Source organism: Homo sapiens, chromosome 15 (genome assembly GCF_000001405.40).
Source record: "Homo sapiens chromosome 15, GRCh38.p14 Primary Assembly".
NCBI lineage: Eukaryota > Metazoa > Chordata > Mammalia > Primates > Hominidae > Homo > Homo sapiens.
This window is the reverse complement of record NC_000015.10, coordinates 35,136,878-35,158,140: the sequence shown is the minus strand read 5'-3', so window position 1 is coordinate 35,158,140 and position 21,263 is coordinate 35,136,878. Positions and strand designations below refer to the sequence as shown.

The window sequence follows — 21,263 nt, the reverse complement described above, 5'->3', positions numbered from 1 at the left end:
GAAACGTGGAAGACAGGAAGGCATCACAACTGGAGCCTAGGCAATGGCAGATGTCTTCTTCCATTCTCCTCCTTTGTTGGAATATGGTAGTATTTAAGTATTACCCAGGGATTCTAAGACTGAAAATGAAAGTATTTTTAATAGAAAAAGAAACAAGATTATAAATCTAGAAGATCTGATAAGGATTTTTTTTTTTTGGCTGGGTTGTTTTAGAATCCTTCTTAGTAAATGCCTTTGACATTTGATTGCTACAGCTCCCCCATTCAGCCTAAAATTTAAAAGCTAGGCTTTCTTTCTCTAGGCTCTTAGTTTAAGAAGGAGAGTGACGAAGAACATTTTTAATTCCTTTCTTCATTGTCCAATTTGTTCACAGAACAGGAATGGTCACTAAGATTCAGGGTCAATTTGATATTCATAATTAAAGAGTAGGAATGCAGTAGGAGCATCCATTCTGTGTGTCTCTTGTTATTAACTTGATTGTACATGCATAGGAGCAGAAGAGCAAGAGGGAGCCTCAACACCAGGCATGTGGGCAGGATTGAAAGAAGGTGCCGGAAATGAGGGGACAGAGTACCACAACCCGGTCTCTAAGACCTTCTGTTTTAATAGTCTCATGTAAATTTGTCTGCTTATTTATTATAGGGGTCCTTAATTTCTGGGGGATAGAGGTGCTCATGGACTCCTTTAAGAATCTAATAAAATCTATAATACCCCCCAAGATTTTAAACATACACATTAATTTTGAAAATAATGCCTAACATTCATGAAGCCAACATTAGAGATAACTGTGTTACATTATCTTAAAAATGCAAGCAAACCAGTAAGTTATTTATGAAGTTCTGAATTTGATATGGAGTACAGTGATGTCTTGAGTATATTTTTGGGAAACAACTTGATTTTCTTCATTAATTTGAAAGGTTTATATGAAGAAACAGAAAAATTAGAGCAACTCCTACCTAAAAAGTTTATAGTATTGTAAAAGAAGATGATCGGAATCATTCCCAAATATTTTTAAGGCCTAACAATCTGCATTCACCCTTCTCAGCCTTAGTCCCATCCCATGCTATAGAAACCACTTTTCTGAAACAGATTGTGTAATGATTCTTGTTAATCAAGGTTCAATTTACAAATCCAAAATTATAGTGGTGTCTGTCAAATACTTCAGAAGATAATGTTGTAAAATCTCCAAAATTAGTTCAAAGAAGCATTTCCTCCAGGAAAATCTACACATTCAGGTCCTGTAAACTGGATATAATGTCTAAGCTGTGGTGCTCAGAAAGTTCTAACTCAGTGATAGACAACTCCCATAAATGTGTAGGTCGACACCTAGTTTCCATAAACACAGAGCACCTGTAACTGTATTTCTCTATTTGTGGCCCACTGGGTCTTTCCTGTGCATGAGATGTCAAATAGCAATTGTTGGGGCAAAGGGAAAAGAGAATAATCAGATCAAGACAGATAATCTGTGTCATCAAATTGAATCAAAGACAAAAACGGAGTCTTTCTCAGACAGCCAGAATGAATTTGCATTCTCTAGTCGTTAGGTCCACCTTGGGATTCCCCTCAAATAAGTGTGCCCCATCCCATTCCATATCCTTTCCATCCTCTACCCCCTTTACCCCCGCCACTCCCACACACAGAGCTTGAAAGGTGTTTGGAGAACATTTTAAAGTGTTGAAAGTGTTGAAGGTTCAGTAGTGGCATTTTCACCTTAAACTGCAAAAGAAGATATTTATTATTAAACTCTTTTTTTATATCATACTATTTCTAATAAGAGACTTTAAATGTAATATTCCAGATGTTTAGAAAAGAAACATTTAGTTTATGCTTTGAAATGTTTATTATCTTCTTAAAAATAGCTTCCAAAATCTTATTCAATTTGTTCATTCATATGTTCTGCTTTCTTTTGTACAACATATGCCAAAAACAAATATAAAACTTCAGTCTCACAAACCAATTTTTGTACATTATAATTGTAACTACATATATCATATATTTCATATTTAATATGAGAAAAATGTATTATGGTTTTCCTTAAGTCTGGGCTGGGTTTTTACAAAAAGGAAGACCATCAGATATTCAGGATTCCCTTAATTTCTCAAATGTGAATTTCATCAGAGGTGAAAGAATATAAAATGTTTCAGTGTAGTCTGCAGAGGGTACCTTGGTCAGAAACCTGGTTTGCTCCATATCACTAAAAAAGATGACACTGTAATAGATAAATTTTATTTCAGATATTTCAAACTATGCCTAGAAAATATAAACATTTAAAAAATAGTGGTCTACTTTATAAGAAATACAATGTGATTTCTACATATAAGAAATATAATGTGATTCAAAGTAATAATAGTAATGTCTCAAAATCGTGCCTTTCTCATGAAAGAACACAATTCAAATAAGATTGAACTGTATCTGTGGTTATCTTTTTCATGAATGTGACCCAGTCTCCCTCAAGCTGAGTGTCACTTTTACATACACATTCAAACATGATAAATGTCATCTTAGCATGTGTTTCACATAAGGACAGCCAAGCCTGTGGCTAGCACAATGCAAGGCCTGGAGATGCGTAGTCTCCCTTTGCCCTTCACCCTGGGGTTCATGGACCAGGGCAGTCTGATGAGGTAGAAAGAGCAGTGGACAAAGAGCTGAAAGACCTAGTCCCATCTCTGGTACTTTCTAATCATTTCAAATTGGATGAAACCCTTAATCTCTAAGGATTTCAATGTGCTTCTCTATAAAATGGAGAACAATTATGCCAGCCTGCTTCATAGAGTTGTTATGAGAATCAAATGAGATAATGTAATTGAACATGCTTCAAAAACCGTCCTACACACACATACAAGGTAAAAGAAAATCTGGATTCAAACTTTTATAGTTCTCTGGCTCTTGTTTCAGTTATAAGGAGTTTATAAATCCAGTCCTTTTTTATGGTTAGCTCTAATACTTTATAATGATGCAAAAAAGATCGGGCAATGTGCACTGTAGTTGTGCAGGAGAAGATCTGCTACTTTTTCTTTTCCATCTCAACCTCTGCTGAAGGTCATAGACAGGCCAGAGATAAAGGTCCATTTTCCTTTCTGAATTTGTCCTACCTTCAAATGTGGAAGGAAGAAGCAGCCAGTTGTAAAACGTTACATTTTCCAAAATGTTCTGAGGGAAAAAGAACATTTTCCTCATGTGGCTCCCTTATTCACATTTTTTCTAAAATGAATAGATATTTTTTGCTATCCTCTTTGCCTCTTTGTCTCAATCAAACTTAGGAGTGTTTGATTACAATCATCTACAGGCTGTGATATTTCTGCATGATATCTTATGGCGGTGTAGGGCCAATGAGTCTCCAGGGCCTCAGAGGTTTGATAGTGTTAAGGCTACTATGAGTAAAAGGAACCTGCCACTGTAATAATCCCAATTTCATAACAGTTTAGGCAACTTGTCTTATTAGTGTTCCTTTCAGTCATAGTCAAAATGTAAAACTACAGCACTATTTAAAAGGTACCCATGGTTTCATACTGGGTTCACATTTGTCATGGAGAGAACATTTTTTTATTTCATATGCAACAAATGCTACTTGAGCACCTACTATGTGCCTGACAGTCTGCTTAAAATTATGAAACAAAAGTAATGGGAACAATAATTACCACCAGTTGAGGCCCTATTACATGCCAGATACAGGGCTACATGCATAATGAATTTAATCCTCACAGCGACGAGAAGTAGATTTTCTTGTCCCCATTTGCTGGAAGAGGAAATGAGACATTACAAAGTTAAGTAACTTGTGCCAGTTCACCATTCAACAAATATTTATTTATTTATTTTATTTTTAATTAACACATTGTAATTGTATGTATTTATGGCCTAAAATTTGATGTTTAGACACATGTATATGTTGTGTAATGGTCAAATCAGGGTTTAGCATATCCATCATCACCGCATGCATTTATCATTTCTTTATGGTGAAAACATTAAAAACCCTCTTCCAGCTGTTTTGTAATATACCTTACTGTTAACCATCTTCACCCTACTGTGCAATAGAGCCCCCCAAATTATTCCTCCTAATTGTAACTTTCGACAAATATTTATTGATTATGTAAGTCAGATATCAGATGCTACCTTCCTCTCTCTGGAGATCTAGGTAAGATGAACCACTCAAGTATGAACTACTCAATTATGCAGCTTCTGAAATCCTTGTGCCTTCCCCAATTTTTCTACTAATTTCCTTGGTTTTCTTTATCTCTTGGGTTTGAGCTATTACTCACCCCAAATGTTAAACTCCACCCTTTCCAGATTTTCACAACAAAATCCCCTACCTCAAGCATTCATGTCATTTGCAGACTTTTGGAATGTTTTGAGGGGCTCTCTTGAAGGGGCTTATGTTATGTTACCTATGATCTTCCATTTGTTCATTTCTTCTCTCTCTCTCTGTCTTTCTCTCTTTCTCTTCCTTTAGGACTCTGCAGATTTTTGTCCCTTTCTTTTACAGAGCTCTTCTGCTCTTCACAGTTCCAAGGGTCAAACTTACATACTAAATTCATTATGATGTTCTGCAGAACCAGAGATCTTCCATTTCACAAGCTCCATGCTTCTTAGAAGGATGGCCTAATTATACAAACAATGTAGAGGCCTAAGTTCCTAAAGTCCTAATTGAGTGTTAAGCCTTGAGAAATACTTAAATACAAATACCATCTAACCACCTATGCATTTTTTCTTTAGTTCGACACCCTCACTAAACAAAATATAGGGCCTAATACTGAATCTTAGGCAATAAACTATAATTTTTAAAAATAAGAGGAGGGGAAAAATAAAATATAAAATACCATATATTTTAATCTTTGTAAATTTATGTTTTTATGTCCATTGTTGCAGAAGTTGGCAGGTTTTTTTCTGTATGCCAGATAGTAAATACTTTTGACTTTGTGATCCATACATTCTCAGCAACTGCTCACCTCTTTTTTGTACAGTGACAGCAGCCGTATACAATACATAAATAAATGGGTGGGGCTGTGTTTCAATAAATCTTTAAACACTGAAATTTAATTTTACATAATTTTCACATCATAAAATATTAATCTTTTGATGTTTTTCAACCATTAAAAAATATAAAAGCCTTTCTTTGCTTCATACAAAAACTGACCACAAGGGCTGTAGTTTGCCAACCCCTGTATCATGATATTTTTTGTAGTTGTGGCAGAAACACCACTGTTGTCACATTCTGCTGCCCTGCCCTAGCTAAATCTCAGAGAGTTCATTTACCTTCTAGAATAAAATTATATTCCTCCCACTAAGTACAACAAAGCCCGTTATTTCTAACTTCTTCCTCTCATCTCAAAAATGCAATGTAATCTGGCTGGGCTGAGTGGCTCACACCTGTAATCCCGGCACTTTGGGAGGCCAAGGTGGGTGGATCACCTGAGGTCAGGAGTTCGAGAAGAGCCTGGGCAACATGGTGAAACCTCGTCTCTACTAAAAATACAAAATTAGCCAGGTGTGGTGGCACATGCCTGTAGTCCTAGCTACTTGGGAGGCTGAGGCAGGAGTATTGCTTGAACCTGGGAGGTGGAGGTTGCAGTGAACGGAGATCGCACTATTGCACTCCAGCCTGGGCAACAAGAGCAGAACTCCATCTCAAAAAAATAAAAAACAAAAAACAAACAAACAAATGCAATATAATCGTTTTTCTGAGGAAATCGATTTTGGAGTAATGGTCTAATTAGGATGTACTCTTCTTTGGGCCAGTGTCTCAAACCTTAAAATTTTCAGAGTTTTTTTTAATATGCTGATGTCAACTGTGACTCTTCAAGAGGATGACACAATATGCAGTGGTTCCTAACTTACTAATACTAGGCACAGAACTCTCCAGGCATCTCAAGGAACTAATACAGTAAGTCCTCACTTAACATTGTCACTAGGCTCCTGGAAACTGCAACTTTATGTGAAATGATGTATAAGAAAACTAATTTTACCATAGGCTAATTGATATAAACAAGAGTTAAGTTCCTAGGCATATTTCTGGTCACAAAAACGTTACTAAACTTCTAAATAAAGATTAAAAACACATCTAATCTTAAACGTTGAAATTAATGTGAGCTATATGTACACTTAAGAAGGATGAATAAAAACAAGTAAGATAATTATTTACCCAATTTTTTATGACTCAGTGAGTGACAGCAGTTGTAGTCATGGTGAGTTAAATCAAGGAATAAATTTCTTCAAAGTGAAAATTGTAAGGAGCACTTCCGAGCACCACACATTCAAAAACAAACAATAACAAACGTAGTGGACTTGCTGAGCATTTCGTTCTGCGTCGCTTATTATCATTTGTATGATTAGCATAGACTTCACGCATTTTTATTTTATAATAATTTGTATTCATTCACTTATTCCTTTTCCAGCTTTCTTATTCTAGTTCAGGGTCAAGGGTGGCCCAGAACACAACCCAGTAGCTCAGGGCACAAGGCAGGCACCACACTGGACAGGTGCACACTTAAACTCACAGCCACACTCAGTCAGACTGAGACCATTTACACATGCCAGTTCACCTACAGTGCACGTCGCTGGGATGTGGGAGGAAATGGAGTATCCAGAGAAAACCCATGCAGACATGAGGAGAACATGCAAATGCCACACAGATGGTGGCCCCAGCCTGGGATTGATTTGTTTATTTCTCATCAGTGTTAAACAAAACTACATTATTTGAGGATCTGCTATATTCTCAAATCCAGATGCCTGCTACTCAAAGTGTGGTCCATGGACCAGAGACATCAATGTCACCTGAGAATTCGTTAAAAATAAAGACTCTCAGTCCACAGGATAGACCCACTGAGTCAGAATCTTCATTCTAATATGATCCCCAGGTGTTTTGAATGCACGTTACATTTTAAAAACAATACTGTAGACCACAGTTTTACAAACAATGCTGTAATTTAAGCTAAAAGAAAAACATAGATCCAGAAGCTAAAATTAATCCTAACATGAATTACTAGAAATTTTGGTTACTATGAAAGTCAAACCCACTTCCCCGGGTTAAAGTTGAGTAACTCAATCGAGTTACCTACATGTTTTACTTCTTCCTGTCTCATTACCTTTAGATGTTTGCTTTTATTTATCTTTTGTTTTCGCGGGGTTGGTGAAGCAGGAGAGAGATGAGATAATTGAAAAATAAACTTATGAAAGATATAGCCATTGAATTTGTGTTCTGAATGTCTCCAAAACCTCATAGAAACATCATCATTTGGAGCCAGAAATGTAAACCAGAAAAAAACCCTTTGTTTTTATTTCGATTATTAACGGAAATTCGAATTTTTGGCATCATCATCTTTTAATATCTCTATGATTCTTTCGAGTAGCATCTAAATCTTAGTTATTGTTTACATGGCTATGTGGCAGGAAAACACTGGGGCCTGAATCTTTGTGATTGTTTTTATTACTTTGCATGAATATGATGATCTCCCATGTAAAGGCTGTAGCATGTGTTCTTCGCCACAAGTTTGCACATTGAGGTAGGAGTAATGGCTACATTTGCTGTTTACTGAAGTAGATTTCTAAGGGCCTTGCATAAAATTTACAACACGAGCTCTGCCTTCCAGACGTATATTTGTTTAAAACTCCCATGATCCATGGCCAAATAGTTTTCTTATATTTGTAAGCATTTATTATGAATAACAGCTGTGGAGTTGTTCTGTACATCACTATTGGCAGATACTGTTTGGAAACCAAATGAGATTCTTAAATGGGTTCATATAAATTCTTACTGTCTACTGCCAGTTCAAATGGCTAAGGAACTTCTCTATAATTATTCTCAAGCCCCTCCTTTGTTGTTACTTTTATTAAATTGCACCATCTGATAAGAAATATGTTCCTTATTTTCTAGTTATAACTCTGATCTGTCATTCTCTCTCTCTGTCACCTCCGAAAGAGTAATCTAGTTTTAAAAGGTGGACATGAGGCTCAATTGAAAATAACATTTACATTGTCTCTATTTGCAAAAATCTTTCCAACTTCCAATTTGCTGGTCCCTTATGTAAAACAGTTGAGGACATAAAATTAAAAAGTCGTAAGACTCCCAGTGGACCAGATCCTCATTCTCCTCAGAGAAAGCTGGTGCAGGTATTCTACATTCAAGAGATGTGTGGGCCATGGAGCAGAACAAGCATCGGGATCGCATATGTAGTTAACATGAATGGATACACATAATAAAAATATTTCTGCACTCACTGTCCACTCACTGGCAGTGAGAAGACCCTAGCTTTAGAGATAATTCTTTTATGCACCTCTAGTGCAATCATAGCCTGTGAACAGTTGAATCTAATTGTAGTCTATTGCAGAATACTAAGTGAGGCTTGTTCTTTAGCACAATGCCTGGCCCATAGAAATAACTGATTAATTGTTCATTAAATAAATGAATGGTCAGTTGTGTCAAATTCTATAAAAGGCTCAGCAAAATCATAGAAAAGTGTACATTGGCTTTGCAAAACAAAGATGATGGTAGGCATGGTGATAGCCAGGCCAGAAGTGACTGTGGGTTGAGGAGTGCATGGCAGTCAGGCAGTGAGGAAGGCCCGTGTGGTGGTCAGGTCTGTAAGTAGCTTGACTAAAGAAGACTTAGTGGGCCAGGCACAGTGGCTCACGCCTGTAATCCCAGCACTTTGGGAGGCCGAGGCAGGCGAATCACGAGGTCAGGAGTTTAAGACCAGCCTGGCCAACATGGTGAAACCCCGTCTCTACTAAAAATACAAAAAATTAGCTGGGCGTAGTAGTGGGTGCCTGTAATCCCAGCTACTCGGGAGGCTGAGGCAGGAGAATCGCTTGAACCTGGGAGGCAGAGGTTGCAGTGAGCCGAGATGGGGCCACTGAACTCCAGCCCTGGTAACAGAGAGAGACTCCATCTCAAAAAACAAACAAACAAACAAAGACTAGTGACAGTTGTGTGGTGAGGGGAGGTGACAAGGAAATGCTTTCAGTTTAGTTTAGTTTTGGGGTTTTTGTGTGTGTTTGCTTTTCTTTGTTTCTTAAGTTGGAAGAAATATAAGGATAGTTATAGGCTGAAGGGAAAGAGCAAGGGAGGAGAGAAGGGGGATGGAGATGTTAGATACTGTGGGGAGGGAAGTATTCCCTGAGCAGGATTCAGGAGGGGGCAAAAGCAGTTAAGATCCACAGCACAGGTGGAGACATTGACCAGGGGGACATTCAGCAAAACATTCTTTAATGAAGCATAAGAATGATAAATTCAGAGTCAAGTGTCATAGGTAATGCTAATAGTGTTTTATGCACATTAATACTCATTGGTATTTCTGTGCCCTTTTTTAATGTTTGCAGGGAGCTTGCATTTATTATTTTTTACTCTGTAGTTACTTATTGAGAAAGGACAGATTTGAGTTAAAAAGAAAGTCCCTACTCTGAAAGTATCATAGATCGAATAAAGGGCTGAATGAGGAATCAAAAGACCTGGGTTCTAATTTCAGCAGGAATATATATGCCTCCGGGTCTATGGAAATAATTTGCCTTTATGAATTATACACATTTATAAAATATTTAAGAAGTATGATCAAGAACACGTGTTGACTAAGTATGAGTAGAAAAGGAAAGGAAAGAACCAAAAATGACCCTTAGGTTTCTAATTGTGAATAACTGAGTGGATGGTAGGAATACTAGAGAGAAAATAATTATACCGGATTATTAGAATCCATTGAAATATTGAATATATTTCAATCTATTGAACCAATATTCAACCTATATTCAGTCTATATGTAAGCTGAACACATTCTACAAAAGACATTAATGTTAAGAAACTGATACATAATGTTCCCTGTAAATATGGAATTTATAGAATAAACTATAATTAGCTAAAATGGGGAGCCAAACTATAGTACAGTCTTGTAGCTTGTGAGTTAAATGGAAGAAAAATGAAATAACTTTACTGTTAACTTAAAAGAGGTGGCAGAAATAGATATACAGGATTTTTAACAATTAAATTTTCCTGTATTCTTATTTATCCTGAGGTGCCATTGGTCTTGTTATTTAACTTACCCATTATTTCTTCTGAAACAATTGCATTACAGTAATTGTAGATAAATATAACCCTGGAGTACTATAGATCACTGAAATGTTGGTTGCTTTAAGCAAAAAGAAGTATCAAATCAAGTCAGTTTCTAGATTGCTGTTCTCCTGGGCACTGATTCATCGTTCAGAGCTGTCAAATGGTCTTGTCACTCCCAAGCTTCTGACATGCAGGACTAATTGTTTGCAGCCCAAGGCGTTGCATGTCCCACTTTTAAAGGCATCAAGGCAAGCATTTTCTGAATTATCTGATCACTCTAGTTCTTCTATATTAATGGCATAATAATTGTGTTTTAAATTCCATTGTTTTATATTAGTAATTCTCACTCACCTGCTGGGGTTTAATCAAGTACTCACTCTACCCACAGATAATTCAGATTATTTCAGACCATCTGTCTTAGTGAGTTTGAGTACATTTTTAAGTTACCTGTATTTCTGATTACTTTTTTTAAAGATCTTAAAGAGCATCTTGATCCTTGGTCCAAATCTTTCACAAGTCTGGATATATGAAGCCTTTCCAAATTTCCCATGCTATCACCGACCAGGCCACCTTAAAAATCCTAGAAAACTCATCTGAATGACTCCTTTGTCACTGCTTCTGCTGCCTAGTATTGTTTACAATTTTATATTGTTTACTCTTTCTAACTAGATTGAAGAACCCTGAAGGCAGAAACTCTTTTATATTTTTTTACATTCCCTGTGCATGGATAATGCTCTGTATATTAAAAAAATAAATGATGAAATATATACTGATAATAAAGTATGATAGCATTGTGATTGAGAAAGGCGTCGGAAGGTAAGCTGTCTGGCTTTAAATCTTAGTTTTGCTGCTTAAGAGCTACAAGACTTTGGGCAATTTCTATAACCTCCCTGCTCCTCAATTTCCTCATCTGTTAAACAGGAATAATACTGTACCTATTCATAGGATTGTTAGAGGAATAAATGAGTTAATATACATCAAGCATTTAGATCAAATGCTTGCCATATAGAAAGCACCATGTAAGTGCTTGCTTGATGGCAATAATGAGCTCTATTTGGCACTTTAGAGCTTAATTTATTCAATAAATGTGACACTGTTATATGTAATGTATATTAACCAGTGTTTCCTCCAGAAAAAGAGATCAGGAGTGTTGTCCCCACTTTGATTTTTCTAGAATCAATTACGATTTTCCCAAGACATTTATGAATAGACTAACCTTGATAGTAGGACATCAGGACAGCCTGATTAGCTGCTTGGTGACATGTTGGGTGATAAGGTCATGGTAGATATTCACCAAATGAATACCATTTTAAATAAAGAAGCCTAAAGACTTTTAGAGGTTCCATATATGAATAATGTACAGGCTAAGTCAATGCCCAGACACAATGATAATAAATGTTGTAAAATTTTTCAAATTCACCTTTAGTAGTACCATTACTGCTACTTCTGCAATACGGCAGATCAACATGATTATTCTAGGAAAGAGAGGAAAATGGAGAGAGAAGGAAAGGACAGAAAATATATAGGGCAAAAATGTTTAAAAGAACTATATGAGATCATGTTGAAATAATGCAAAGGTAAAAACATATCAATTTTCTTCTCCCTCTCATCATAACATCCAAAGTAAAAGATAATGTTTAGATGTATGACTATGCTAGTATTTATAAGAAGGAGAGAACAGGAGGAAATAAGGAGATGAGAAAATGAAATATTAAAACAAAACATGGAGTGCAATACCCATAACATTCAGCAAAGAAATAGTCTTGACAGTTTTAGGTTTTGATATTACATTTTTAAAATACATTCTGTGGTCAAATATACTTTTAAGAACCGCAATTGAAAGATTATTGCAGTGAGAACTTTTAAAATTCTTCCTTATAAGCTTACTTTGTTTTATCTATCATAAAAGTAACGTTACTTTCAACTAATATGTTATTGAAGTAATATATATTCAATGAGTAAAACTTTGAATAAAGTGCTCATGCATGTATGTATACACACACACACACACACACACACACACACACACACACACACAGAAACTATAAGCCCATTACATTTATCTAACCTTTATATACCATTTTGGTGGTTGCCTTTTGGCATTTTGGGCTTTTGTTTATTTGGGTATGCAACTATGAAATATTACACAAATGCTATTGCAGAGGGGATTTAAATGTTTCATATACTATTTGTTTTTAAAACATTATTTTTAAAAATGAAGCTATTTAAGAGAAGCATTTTTTGTGCCTCAAAACAATGTAGATAGATAGATGGAGAGAGAAGTGGATGGATATACAGATAGAAATATCTCCAGCCATCCTTTTCACAGTGCATAAATAAAATAATTCTTTGATGGCTGGCTAAGGTTACTACCCCAGAACTTGAAGCTGTTTTCATCTCTGTGTGTTCCAGTGAAGTCAATAATTGTCCACTGCATGTCCAGGACTGGATTCCAGCAAAGGGAGAAATGGCAGAAGAATTTTGACAAACTGAAGGGATCTACCCCTCATAGACAGGAACAGGGAACATTTGTTTTCTGCGCAAGTGTATTGTTAGCCTTCTAGAATAGCCTGCCAGCTTAAAGAATGCAGCTGGAGCTAGCTCCCTAGAATGTTCATACTGTTTGTATCAGCTAACCAGCTCCCAAGCAGTACTTTCATATTGTAACTCCTCTAATGAAGAATAATTGTCAGTCATTGGTCTTCCCAAATTCTAGGACAGTTGCTTCACATGTAAAGGAATTTCAGTTAAAGGACACTAGGAAAGTAAAAAATGAAACTCTCTGTTAAGTGCCAACATGAAAGATAGCACATCTATGTTATGAAATCCAAAATAAGTAACTTGGAAATGTATATATGCACACAAAAGACTAGAAAGAAATTCATCGTAATGTAAAAAGAGGTTCTCTCTAGATGGTGGGATTATAAATGACTTTGGTTTTCTTCTTTATACATTTCTGTTTGTTGCAGAAAGAACATATTGCAGAAAAACAGAATACTTATTTTAATCAATAATCTAGAGAAGAAAAGAAATGAAGATGTAATTAATCATAAGGTTAGTGTTATTTACCTACACTTAGAAATCAACTAAAATCTTTGCCTCAGAATCCTAAAATTCAAAGTTCATACCAAGAAAAAAATGGAAGAGACAAACCAAAATTGACTTAAAAACAGCATACTGTGATTTTAGAAAAGGCTTTTTTTAGTACTTTAAAAAAATGTAAACCATTTTAGTCAGGTCTTAGCTAAGCCAGTAACTCAATTCCTGAAGCTCTTGGTTTATTAGTATTGTACACCTCGGCCAGATTAACACTTGTGAAAATTTTCAATTTATTGCCACTTATTTGAAATAAGTTGCCTTGGATTTTTGAGAGATGAGAGACAGAGAGAAAACACCTCCCAAGGGTAAAAAGTTATCTAACAAAAGACAGCTTTTCCATAAAATACTATGCATTTACTGGAAGTAACAGAAAGTAATGCTTTTTGGAAAATGGTCCCCAAAATAAGAAAAAATTAAACATTAAAATAAAGAATCCTAAAATAATCCTAAAAAAGTTCTAACTGGAAAAATCATTAGGAAATTAACAGTTTAATAAAATCAAACTGTTAATATTTCTGTGTATCCGTTTCTCTCTATCTGCATTGTTTTGAGGCACAAAAAATGCTTCTCCTAAATAGCTTTATTTTTTAAAATAAAGAAAGCTTTATAAACAAATATATCGGTGGCTGGGCGCAGTGGCTCACGCCTGTAATCCCAGCACTTTGAGAGGCCGAGGCGGGCGGATCACAAGGTCAGGAGATCAAGACCATCCTGGCTAACACGGTGAAACCCCGTCTGTACTAAAAATACAAAAAATTAGCTGGGTGTGGTGGCGGGCACCTGTAGTCCCAGCTACTCGGGAGGCTGAGGCAGGAAAATGGCGTGAACCCGGGAGGCAGAGTTTGCAGTGAGCCGAGATGGTGCCACTGCACTCCAGCCTGGGCGACAGAGCAAGACTCTGTCTCAAAGAAAAAAATATATCATTAATATAATAGATTTCAGTCTTTCTGAATAGTTTATGCTTTTTTAAACAGAATCTTGTAAACTGCATACAGTAAGTAATTTTCAACTGCATTAATTCTCCTAGAGTTATCAGTGTCTGGCAGCTTTTCTTTTTTATATTGTTTCATTGTCGCTATTGTCTTTAGTTTTCTTGATCCAATCTATATCAAATTTAAGTTAAATTTGTTCTTCAGTTGTTCTCAAAATGAGCCTTCTTCAGGGAAGAATGAAGGTAAAACCAGATCAGATTCTTCTTGTATTGCTGTGATCAGATTTATCTTCTGACCCAATATATTTTAAGTCTAATTATTTAAAGTTCAATTTAGATGGTTTAGCAAGCCATGAATTAACCCTGAATGCCTCGAGTTTGAATTTTCATTTGCACCCTTCATTTTGCCTGTGAAATATCTTAGCAAGAAAAAAAGCCAAAGGCTCACCCCAGCAAGGGGAAGACAGCTAGGTTAGAAGATTCAATTTGGAAGTCTTAGCCCAAGGGGTAGGTAAGGTCCCCAAAGGCAATACAGGAGATGGTAAAAATGTTCTACTGTTGGACAGAAGAGTCTGCCCAGCCTCTGCTCTCCTCACACTCAGAAATCAGAATTTCCTGCACTTTTTTTTGAGACAGGGTCTCACTTTGTCCCTTAGGCTGGAATGCAGTGAAGCAATCACAGCTGACTGCAGCCTCCAACTCCCAGGCTCAAGCAATTCTCCCACCTCAGCCTCCCAAGAAGCTGGGACTACAGGGTGAGCCACCATGCCCAGCTAATTGTTTTATTTTTGTAGAGCTGGGCTCTTGTTATGTTGCCCAGGCTTTTGTTGAACTCCTGGGCTCAGGCAATTTCCCCACCTCAGCCTCCCAAAGGGCTGGGATTATGAGTGTGAGCCACTGAACCTGGCCTCCTGTACTCTTTGAGGGATTTTCATAACATATATTACGGCAGGAATTAAAGATGGTATCTACAAGCTGTTGTTCCACTAATTCTCACAAGGAGCACATTTTCTTTGAGAAACCAAGGAAAACTGGATGATCATAAAGTTGCTATGAAAGGCTGACTGGAGTCCGTCCTGAGGGCTATGCAGCATTTGCTTCATGTCCACCCCAACAGTGCTTTCATGTGTGCTTAGTTCTCTGCATTCATGCCTGGAGTCCAGCTTCCACATCCGTAAGAGATTGTCAGCTCTAAAGATCTGAGGACATAATGGAGGCAAGCTGCATAGATATGTACCTCACACTGAGCCAGGGCACTTCAGTCCCGACCTCTCCTGTGGAGGGATGGCCAGCTGGAAAGTGGTCACATCTACCAAGCACTACATGGCTCATCTGTCCTGCTTTCCCTCCTGATTACAAACAGATTTTGGGCATCTCTGTGTGGGTCCTAGTCTCTCTAAACCCACACTAGCACTTCAGTAAAACTGTTGTATCTTTATAACGCTTTTTAAAGGCAGAGTTTTCAGGGATTTTTTTTTTTCTTTGAGTAGTGCATGTATTGAAATAGCCGTTTAGCTTTGCCCAGTAATAAATAACTCTGTAAAAAAGAAACACTTAAGATGGATATTCTGTAAACTTCAGAATTATTGTGAAATTGCATTTTTATCTCCTATTTTTAGAGCCCATTTGATTTATCCCAGCTTGGCATATTAGAATAGACATGGGGTACACAAACAGCCTGATAGTTAAAATTTTGTCTGCATGTGAATCTCCTCTGGCTTCCTTCTCTGCCAGGAAAATTTTTCCTGTTGTCAGTCAACTGATCCTAATATCTTCTTGGAACAGAGCAAACATTTTAAAGTGCAGAGTAAAAGTCCTCCCCCAGCCCTAGGGAGAAAACTTTTTTTTTCCTTGAGCTGTTGATGTCTTTAAGAGAAATGACTTTAGTTGGTTCAGTCAGATGATAGAGGACACAGTTAACTCCATATAAGGAAAATGTTTGAATGCCAGTACCATTGATTTCAAGTAAGGTTTATGTGGGTAACATTGTTTAAGAAGATAATCTGAGTCATAAATTGCATAAGGGGTAACTCCCTCTTAAGCAACAGCAAAAGAGTAGTTTTGTAGTTTTGAACTTTGTTTTGAAAAAATCCTATATTAATAAACATTTTGAAATATGCTGTCTACTTAGGTAGGAATGTGGACCTCCTGACCATGGACTATATGGCTTTTAATTAACTGCTGTTTCCAATTCTTTTTAGAGTTTCAGTCAGAATTAGTTATTCTGAGCCTAAAAAATAAAATGAAGACACAAATTTCTCTTAAACCCTATTAAAGGGTCTTCTTTTAAGGCAGACAAAACAAGTCTTCTTAAGACAGCCTTATGGTAATTGATCCAGAGTCATTTAGTTTATTTCAACAATTATTCCAGCACACATTTTTTTTAACTATTGGCTAAACATAAATTGTTAACATGATAGAAAACAGTCACCAAGGGGAGTACTTACAAACCAGAACACAGTAGTGATGGTCACAGAAAGAGACTTTTTTAAAAATCAAAATTAAGAATGTCTCTAAAACTCTTCATTGATCTTATAATTTAGAAAAAATGAAGTATATGTGAGAGATGACTCATGGGCTGGATAGGAAAGTTGTGGACACTGGGCAGAGGTAGGGAAACAATCTCAGGGAAGAGGAATATTGGGTAGAAAAAATAAAATCCCTTTTAACTTTTTAAAAGTTATTATCAATTAGGGTTAAAATGAACAAAATATTTTGGATCAATTTACATAAAGGCATTGAAAGGTCTCCACAATGAGACTATAGAATTACCTTATTTCGGAAGTAATCAAGGTAATATTTTATTTGAAAAGTGTTTGGGCAATAATAGCTTTTATTAGTCAGGGTTCTCCTGAGAAACAGAACCAATGGGATATGTAGATAGAGATATAAATATATTTATACATACATACAGAGAGAGAGAGAGACAGACAGACAGACAGCTCATATGATTTTGGAGGCTAGAAAGTCTGAAATGCCAAGAGGCTGGAAATTCAGGTAAAAGTTGATATTGCAGTCTTGAGTCTAAAATCTGCTGTGCAGGCCAGCTGGTGGGAAACTCAGGCAGAGTTTCCATGCTGCAGTTTCAAGGCAGAGCTGGAGTTTCAAGCAAGGCATGCTGCAGTTTCAAGGCAGAGTTGCTCCTTCCTCAGGAAACGTCATTCTTTAATCTGAAGGCCAACTAATTGGGTGAGGCCCTCTTACATTATAGAGGGTAATCTGCTCTACTCAAAGTCTACTGATTATAATCGCTAATCATATCTAAAAGCATCGATACAATCAACACGTCACATTAACATCTAGACTTGTATTTGACCAAACAACTGAGCACTGTAGCCTAGCCAAGTTGATACGTAATATTAACTATCACACGTAAAATTAACCACCATAATACCTTTAGAGACTATCCTCACTTTTGTACCTTTTCGTTTTTCATAGTGTCTGGAAGGAATAAGTTTCTGAAAATAAGTGTATTAAGTAGAATGTCAAATCTTATATGTATTCCTGAGATTTTGTCACTTAGTGTGTGCCTGTGTGCTAAAGTTTGTGCCATATGCTCAATATTATTGATATGTGTTTTTAAATTACACTTCTAAGGCACGTATATGCTGCCACAACATTTTTCCTGCAACTTTCCAAAGAAATATAATCTGCACATTTCAAACACTATAGTTGAATCTGCCTCGAATGATAACATTTAATAAAACTTCACTCCAGATTCTGAATCATATAGCTGGTATCTAAGAGGAGGAAGGCCTGAAACATAAAAGAAATGAATGATCTATTAGTATATGTGACTTCAGTAATATAGTCATTGATCTTTTGCCCTTTGTTTTAACACTATCAAGATTCAAAAATAAATATGAAAAATTCCATCCAAGTCATTTGCATTGATTTTCAAAAATGACTGCTTATAAATTTTAATTGCTTTGTTTTTGTTTCTTTTTTTTTTTTTAGGCAGGATCTAGCTCTCTTCACCAAGGCTGGCATGCAGTGGTATAATCATGACTCACTGCAGCCTCAAACTCCGAGGCCCACACAATCCTCCCACTTCAGCCTCTCTAGTAGCTGGGACTAACGGCATGTGCCGCCACACTAATTTTTTTTTATATTTTGCAGAGACGAGTGTCTTACTATGTTGCCAGGGCTGGTCTTGAACTCCTAGGCTCAAGCGATCTCCTGAAGGTGTGAGCCACTGCACCTGGCCTTCGTTTTATTTTTTGTTTTCACTTATGGATATGTTTCCAAAGTGAGTCATTCCATTGGTTGAGTGATTGGTTGCTTGATTTTTCAACTCAAATTAAATACTTTATGTATCAAGACAAGAAAAAAAAAACCTGTAAATATAAATGGGAATTTAAAGAATGATTTTGAAAAATGATTCTAGACTTTAATTGGTTTTATTGAAAGTACCATATCTTAATAAGTATAAACAATTTCACTAGCTTTTATAAAATAATATGATTTTCCCTCTCCAATATTTGCCTTTTGGTTGAAACTGGATGATAAATAGCATATGAAGAAAAGTCATCAAGAGCAATCATAATATAGACATTTAAATAAGCCAGACTATCTAATTTGTAATTTAAGAAATGGAGATAAGTAGTTTAATAAAAATGGTACCACAAGATCAGAATAATAAGTTTAAATCATTTAAATAATTAATAAAATTAATAATAGCAGCAATTTAAATGTCTATTTAACTTTTGTTAACATATATTAAAACCTCATTTATAGGTATTCACTCTTATATCTCTATTGTACTCAAAGCCCTACAAATAACAGCATTCTCTTTCTTTGCTAAGTTTGTAAATACTTGTTTTACTTGAAAACATACACAAAGAAATTTCTACCTATATCCTTAAGGATTATTTCATTTTCTTCGTACTTTGACATTCTTTTTTCTTTTTTAGCAATTTGGTTTCTATGACTGCTATACAAAATTGTGAAAACTAAATAGCTTAAAACAACAAAAATTTATTATAATTCTATGGGTCAGAAGTCTGAAATGAGTCTCACTAAGCTAAAATCAAGGTGTTGGCTGGCAGGCCTACATGCCTCCAGGAGGTTCTAGACAAGAATCCAAATTCCTGCCTTTTCAAGCTTAAAAGCCACCCACATTCCTTGGCTCAGGGTCCCATTCCTCCATCTTCAGCTAGCAACATCAGGCCAAGTCCTTCTCACATTGCTATCCTTCTGGTCTTTCTCTTCTGCCTCCCTCCTGTACTTATAAGGACTCGTGTGATTAGATTGGTCTGACCTGGACAATCAAGATAATCTCCCCATCCCAAGGCCAATTGATTAGCAACCTTAATTCCTATTTGCCATGTGACCTAATATAGTAACACGTTCCAGGGTTTAGGACATGGACATCTTTGTTGGGGGTCATTATTCTGCCTTTTAAATTAATAATTCTGCCCTAGAAATTAATTATTCTTGAAGCTAGGTGATAGGTAGATAAGCGTTCCTTGTACTAGTCTATCAACTTTTATAAATTTTAACTCTTCCAAAATAAAAAGGTAAAACATAAATAAATTTAGGGTTCTATATAACCCAAGGAGTTATGTCTAAAAGAAAAAATGTAATATTCCAACTTCATTTATGACCTTATTAGTATTCAACATCTTAGGAAATTTTCACATTTATTTCTAGTAAGCTCTCTGAAAAGTGATAAATAATACAACAATTTTAAAACTTAGAAGTGTGAAACATAAGCATACATTTTGCCTCCAACAAAAAGTCCTTCCTCAGATGTTATCATGTAGCTGATAACCCCACAAAGTGGTTTAAAACAATTTTTTTAAACACTTGTTCTTAGAACTTTTATGTTCAGAGAGCTCCATATCATGTGATCCAAGTACTCTCTACACATGACTTTCCTGCCAAATGATATCCACACTCTTACTGAACTTCTCTTGGAGTGGGGAATAGGGGTCAAGCCTTCTAAGGTAATTTCAACTTTGCATAGCTCTATGACTGTTAAGATGTTATTCCACCTATATGGCTTTGATGAATGAGTGTAGTACTACATCTGCATAACAGCCTACAAAATATTTGGAAATAGCTCATATGTCACCCTGAAGCTGAATAGTCCCTCTAAACATTGGTGGCAACCTGAAATTCATGAAAAATGAAGACTGTGTCTCCAATAGAATGACTATGGAATGTTCTCTTAGAGATAAATTTGTCAAATCAAGAGAAAACTCCTCAACATGTTCATTTATCTGATAAATTGAATCACAGTACATTGAGGAAATCTAGAAATGTTACCCATGTTTCTCCAGAATCCAGCCCCACAGATTTTTCTGGGATTCTCATCATCCATAGAAAGGATATTTTAAATGGGTGATGAGCGAGTGCTTTTGTCCTGGGTTAATCCTAGATATAACTCTACATGTGTGAGTTATGAGCATAGACAACTGGACTAGGAGTTTGAGGGGAGCTCAAAGTAGCACAGCTGACTGAGTGGCTTTCTACATTCACTGATGGCCAACTGAATCTCTTTCAATTCACTGAGAACCAGATGAATCTCTGCTTCTGGAACTTGAAACTAAAGTTAATCCCTTTCCACAGATCAGCAGAATTTACCATCAATTTTACTTAAAAAATTTATTTAAATTTAAAACACATTTCAAAACAAATGCAGGTCCCACTTTTCACTTTTCTAATACCTAGTTTGACCAGATTTGCTGAGTAGCTAAAAAAAAAAAAAAAAAAAAAACCTGAAAGGAGGGAGACTATGGCCATATAAAATTTAAAGCTTATTTAACACATTTTATTATCTCAGAAAAAAACCCTGGTTCCAAAAAGACCTATAGAGCCAGAGCCATGTCACATGCCATTAGGTTTCCTTAGACAATAAGCATGGATTCTAGACAAGGTTAACATAGGTATGAAATGAGTGGGGGAAAAGTTGTGGGGACCCCACTGATAGGTAGGGAGACTCAGTTCTCGTCACCTTAAGACATAGCTAACTGCCTCAACTTCCACCAGTCAGGGCCTCATTCTGTTCAGCTGATTGAAAACGTAAACCAATAAAGTCCCTGGTTAAGACATTTTGCTCTCAGAGCTATTCAGTGATTTTTCTGAATTGAGATCCCTCCTCTTTAATGGCGTGTTGTAAACTTTTACTGACTCGGGGCACAGTACCTCCTGGTAGATTGTCATTTATTCCATTTTCAGAGAGGCTCACCTTCTGTG

General features: G+C 36.3%; 1 protein-coding gene across 1 annotated transcript in view, besides 1 other annotated feature; it reads left to right on the top strand.

Moving 5' to 3' along the window:
* Window positions 1-13,164, top strand: part of DPH6 (diphthamine biosynthesis 6) — a 401,189-nt gene extending 388,025 nt beyond the window's left edge. Inside the window, exon 10 of the mRNA XM_047433263.1 lies at window positions 13,003-13,164. The gene's annotated coding sequence lies outside the window, so the exon portion shown is untranslated. The remainder of the gene's footprint in view (window positions 1-13,002) is intronic.
* Window positions 21,164-21,263: an enhancer, noted in NCBI's record as "active region_9190". NCBI's record gives its function as "activates an Ori minimal core promoter by ATAC-STARR-seq in GM12878 lymphoblastoid cells {active_cell/tissue: GM12878}" and the evidence as "EXISTENCE:reporter gene assay evidence [ECO:0000049][PMID:35858748]".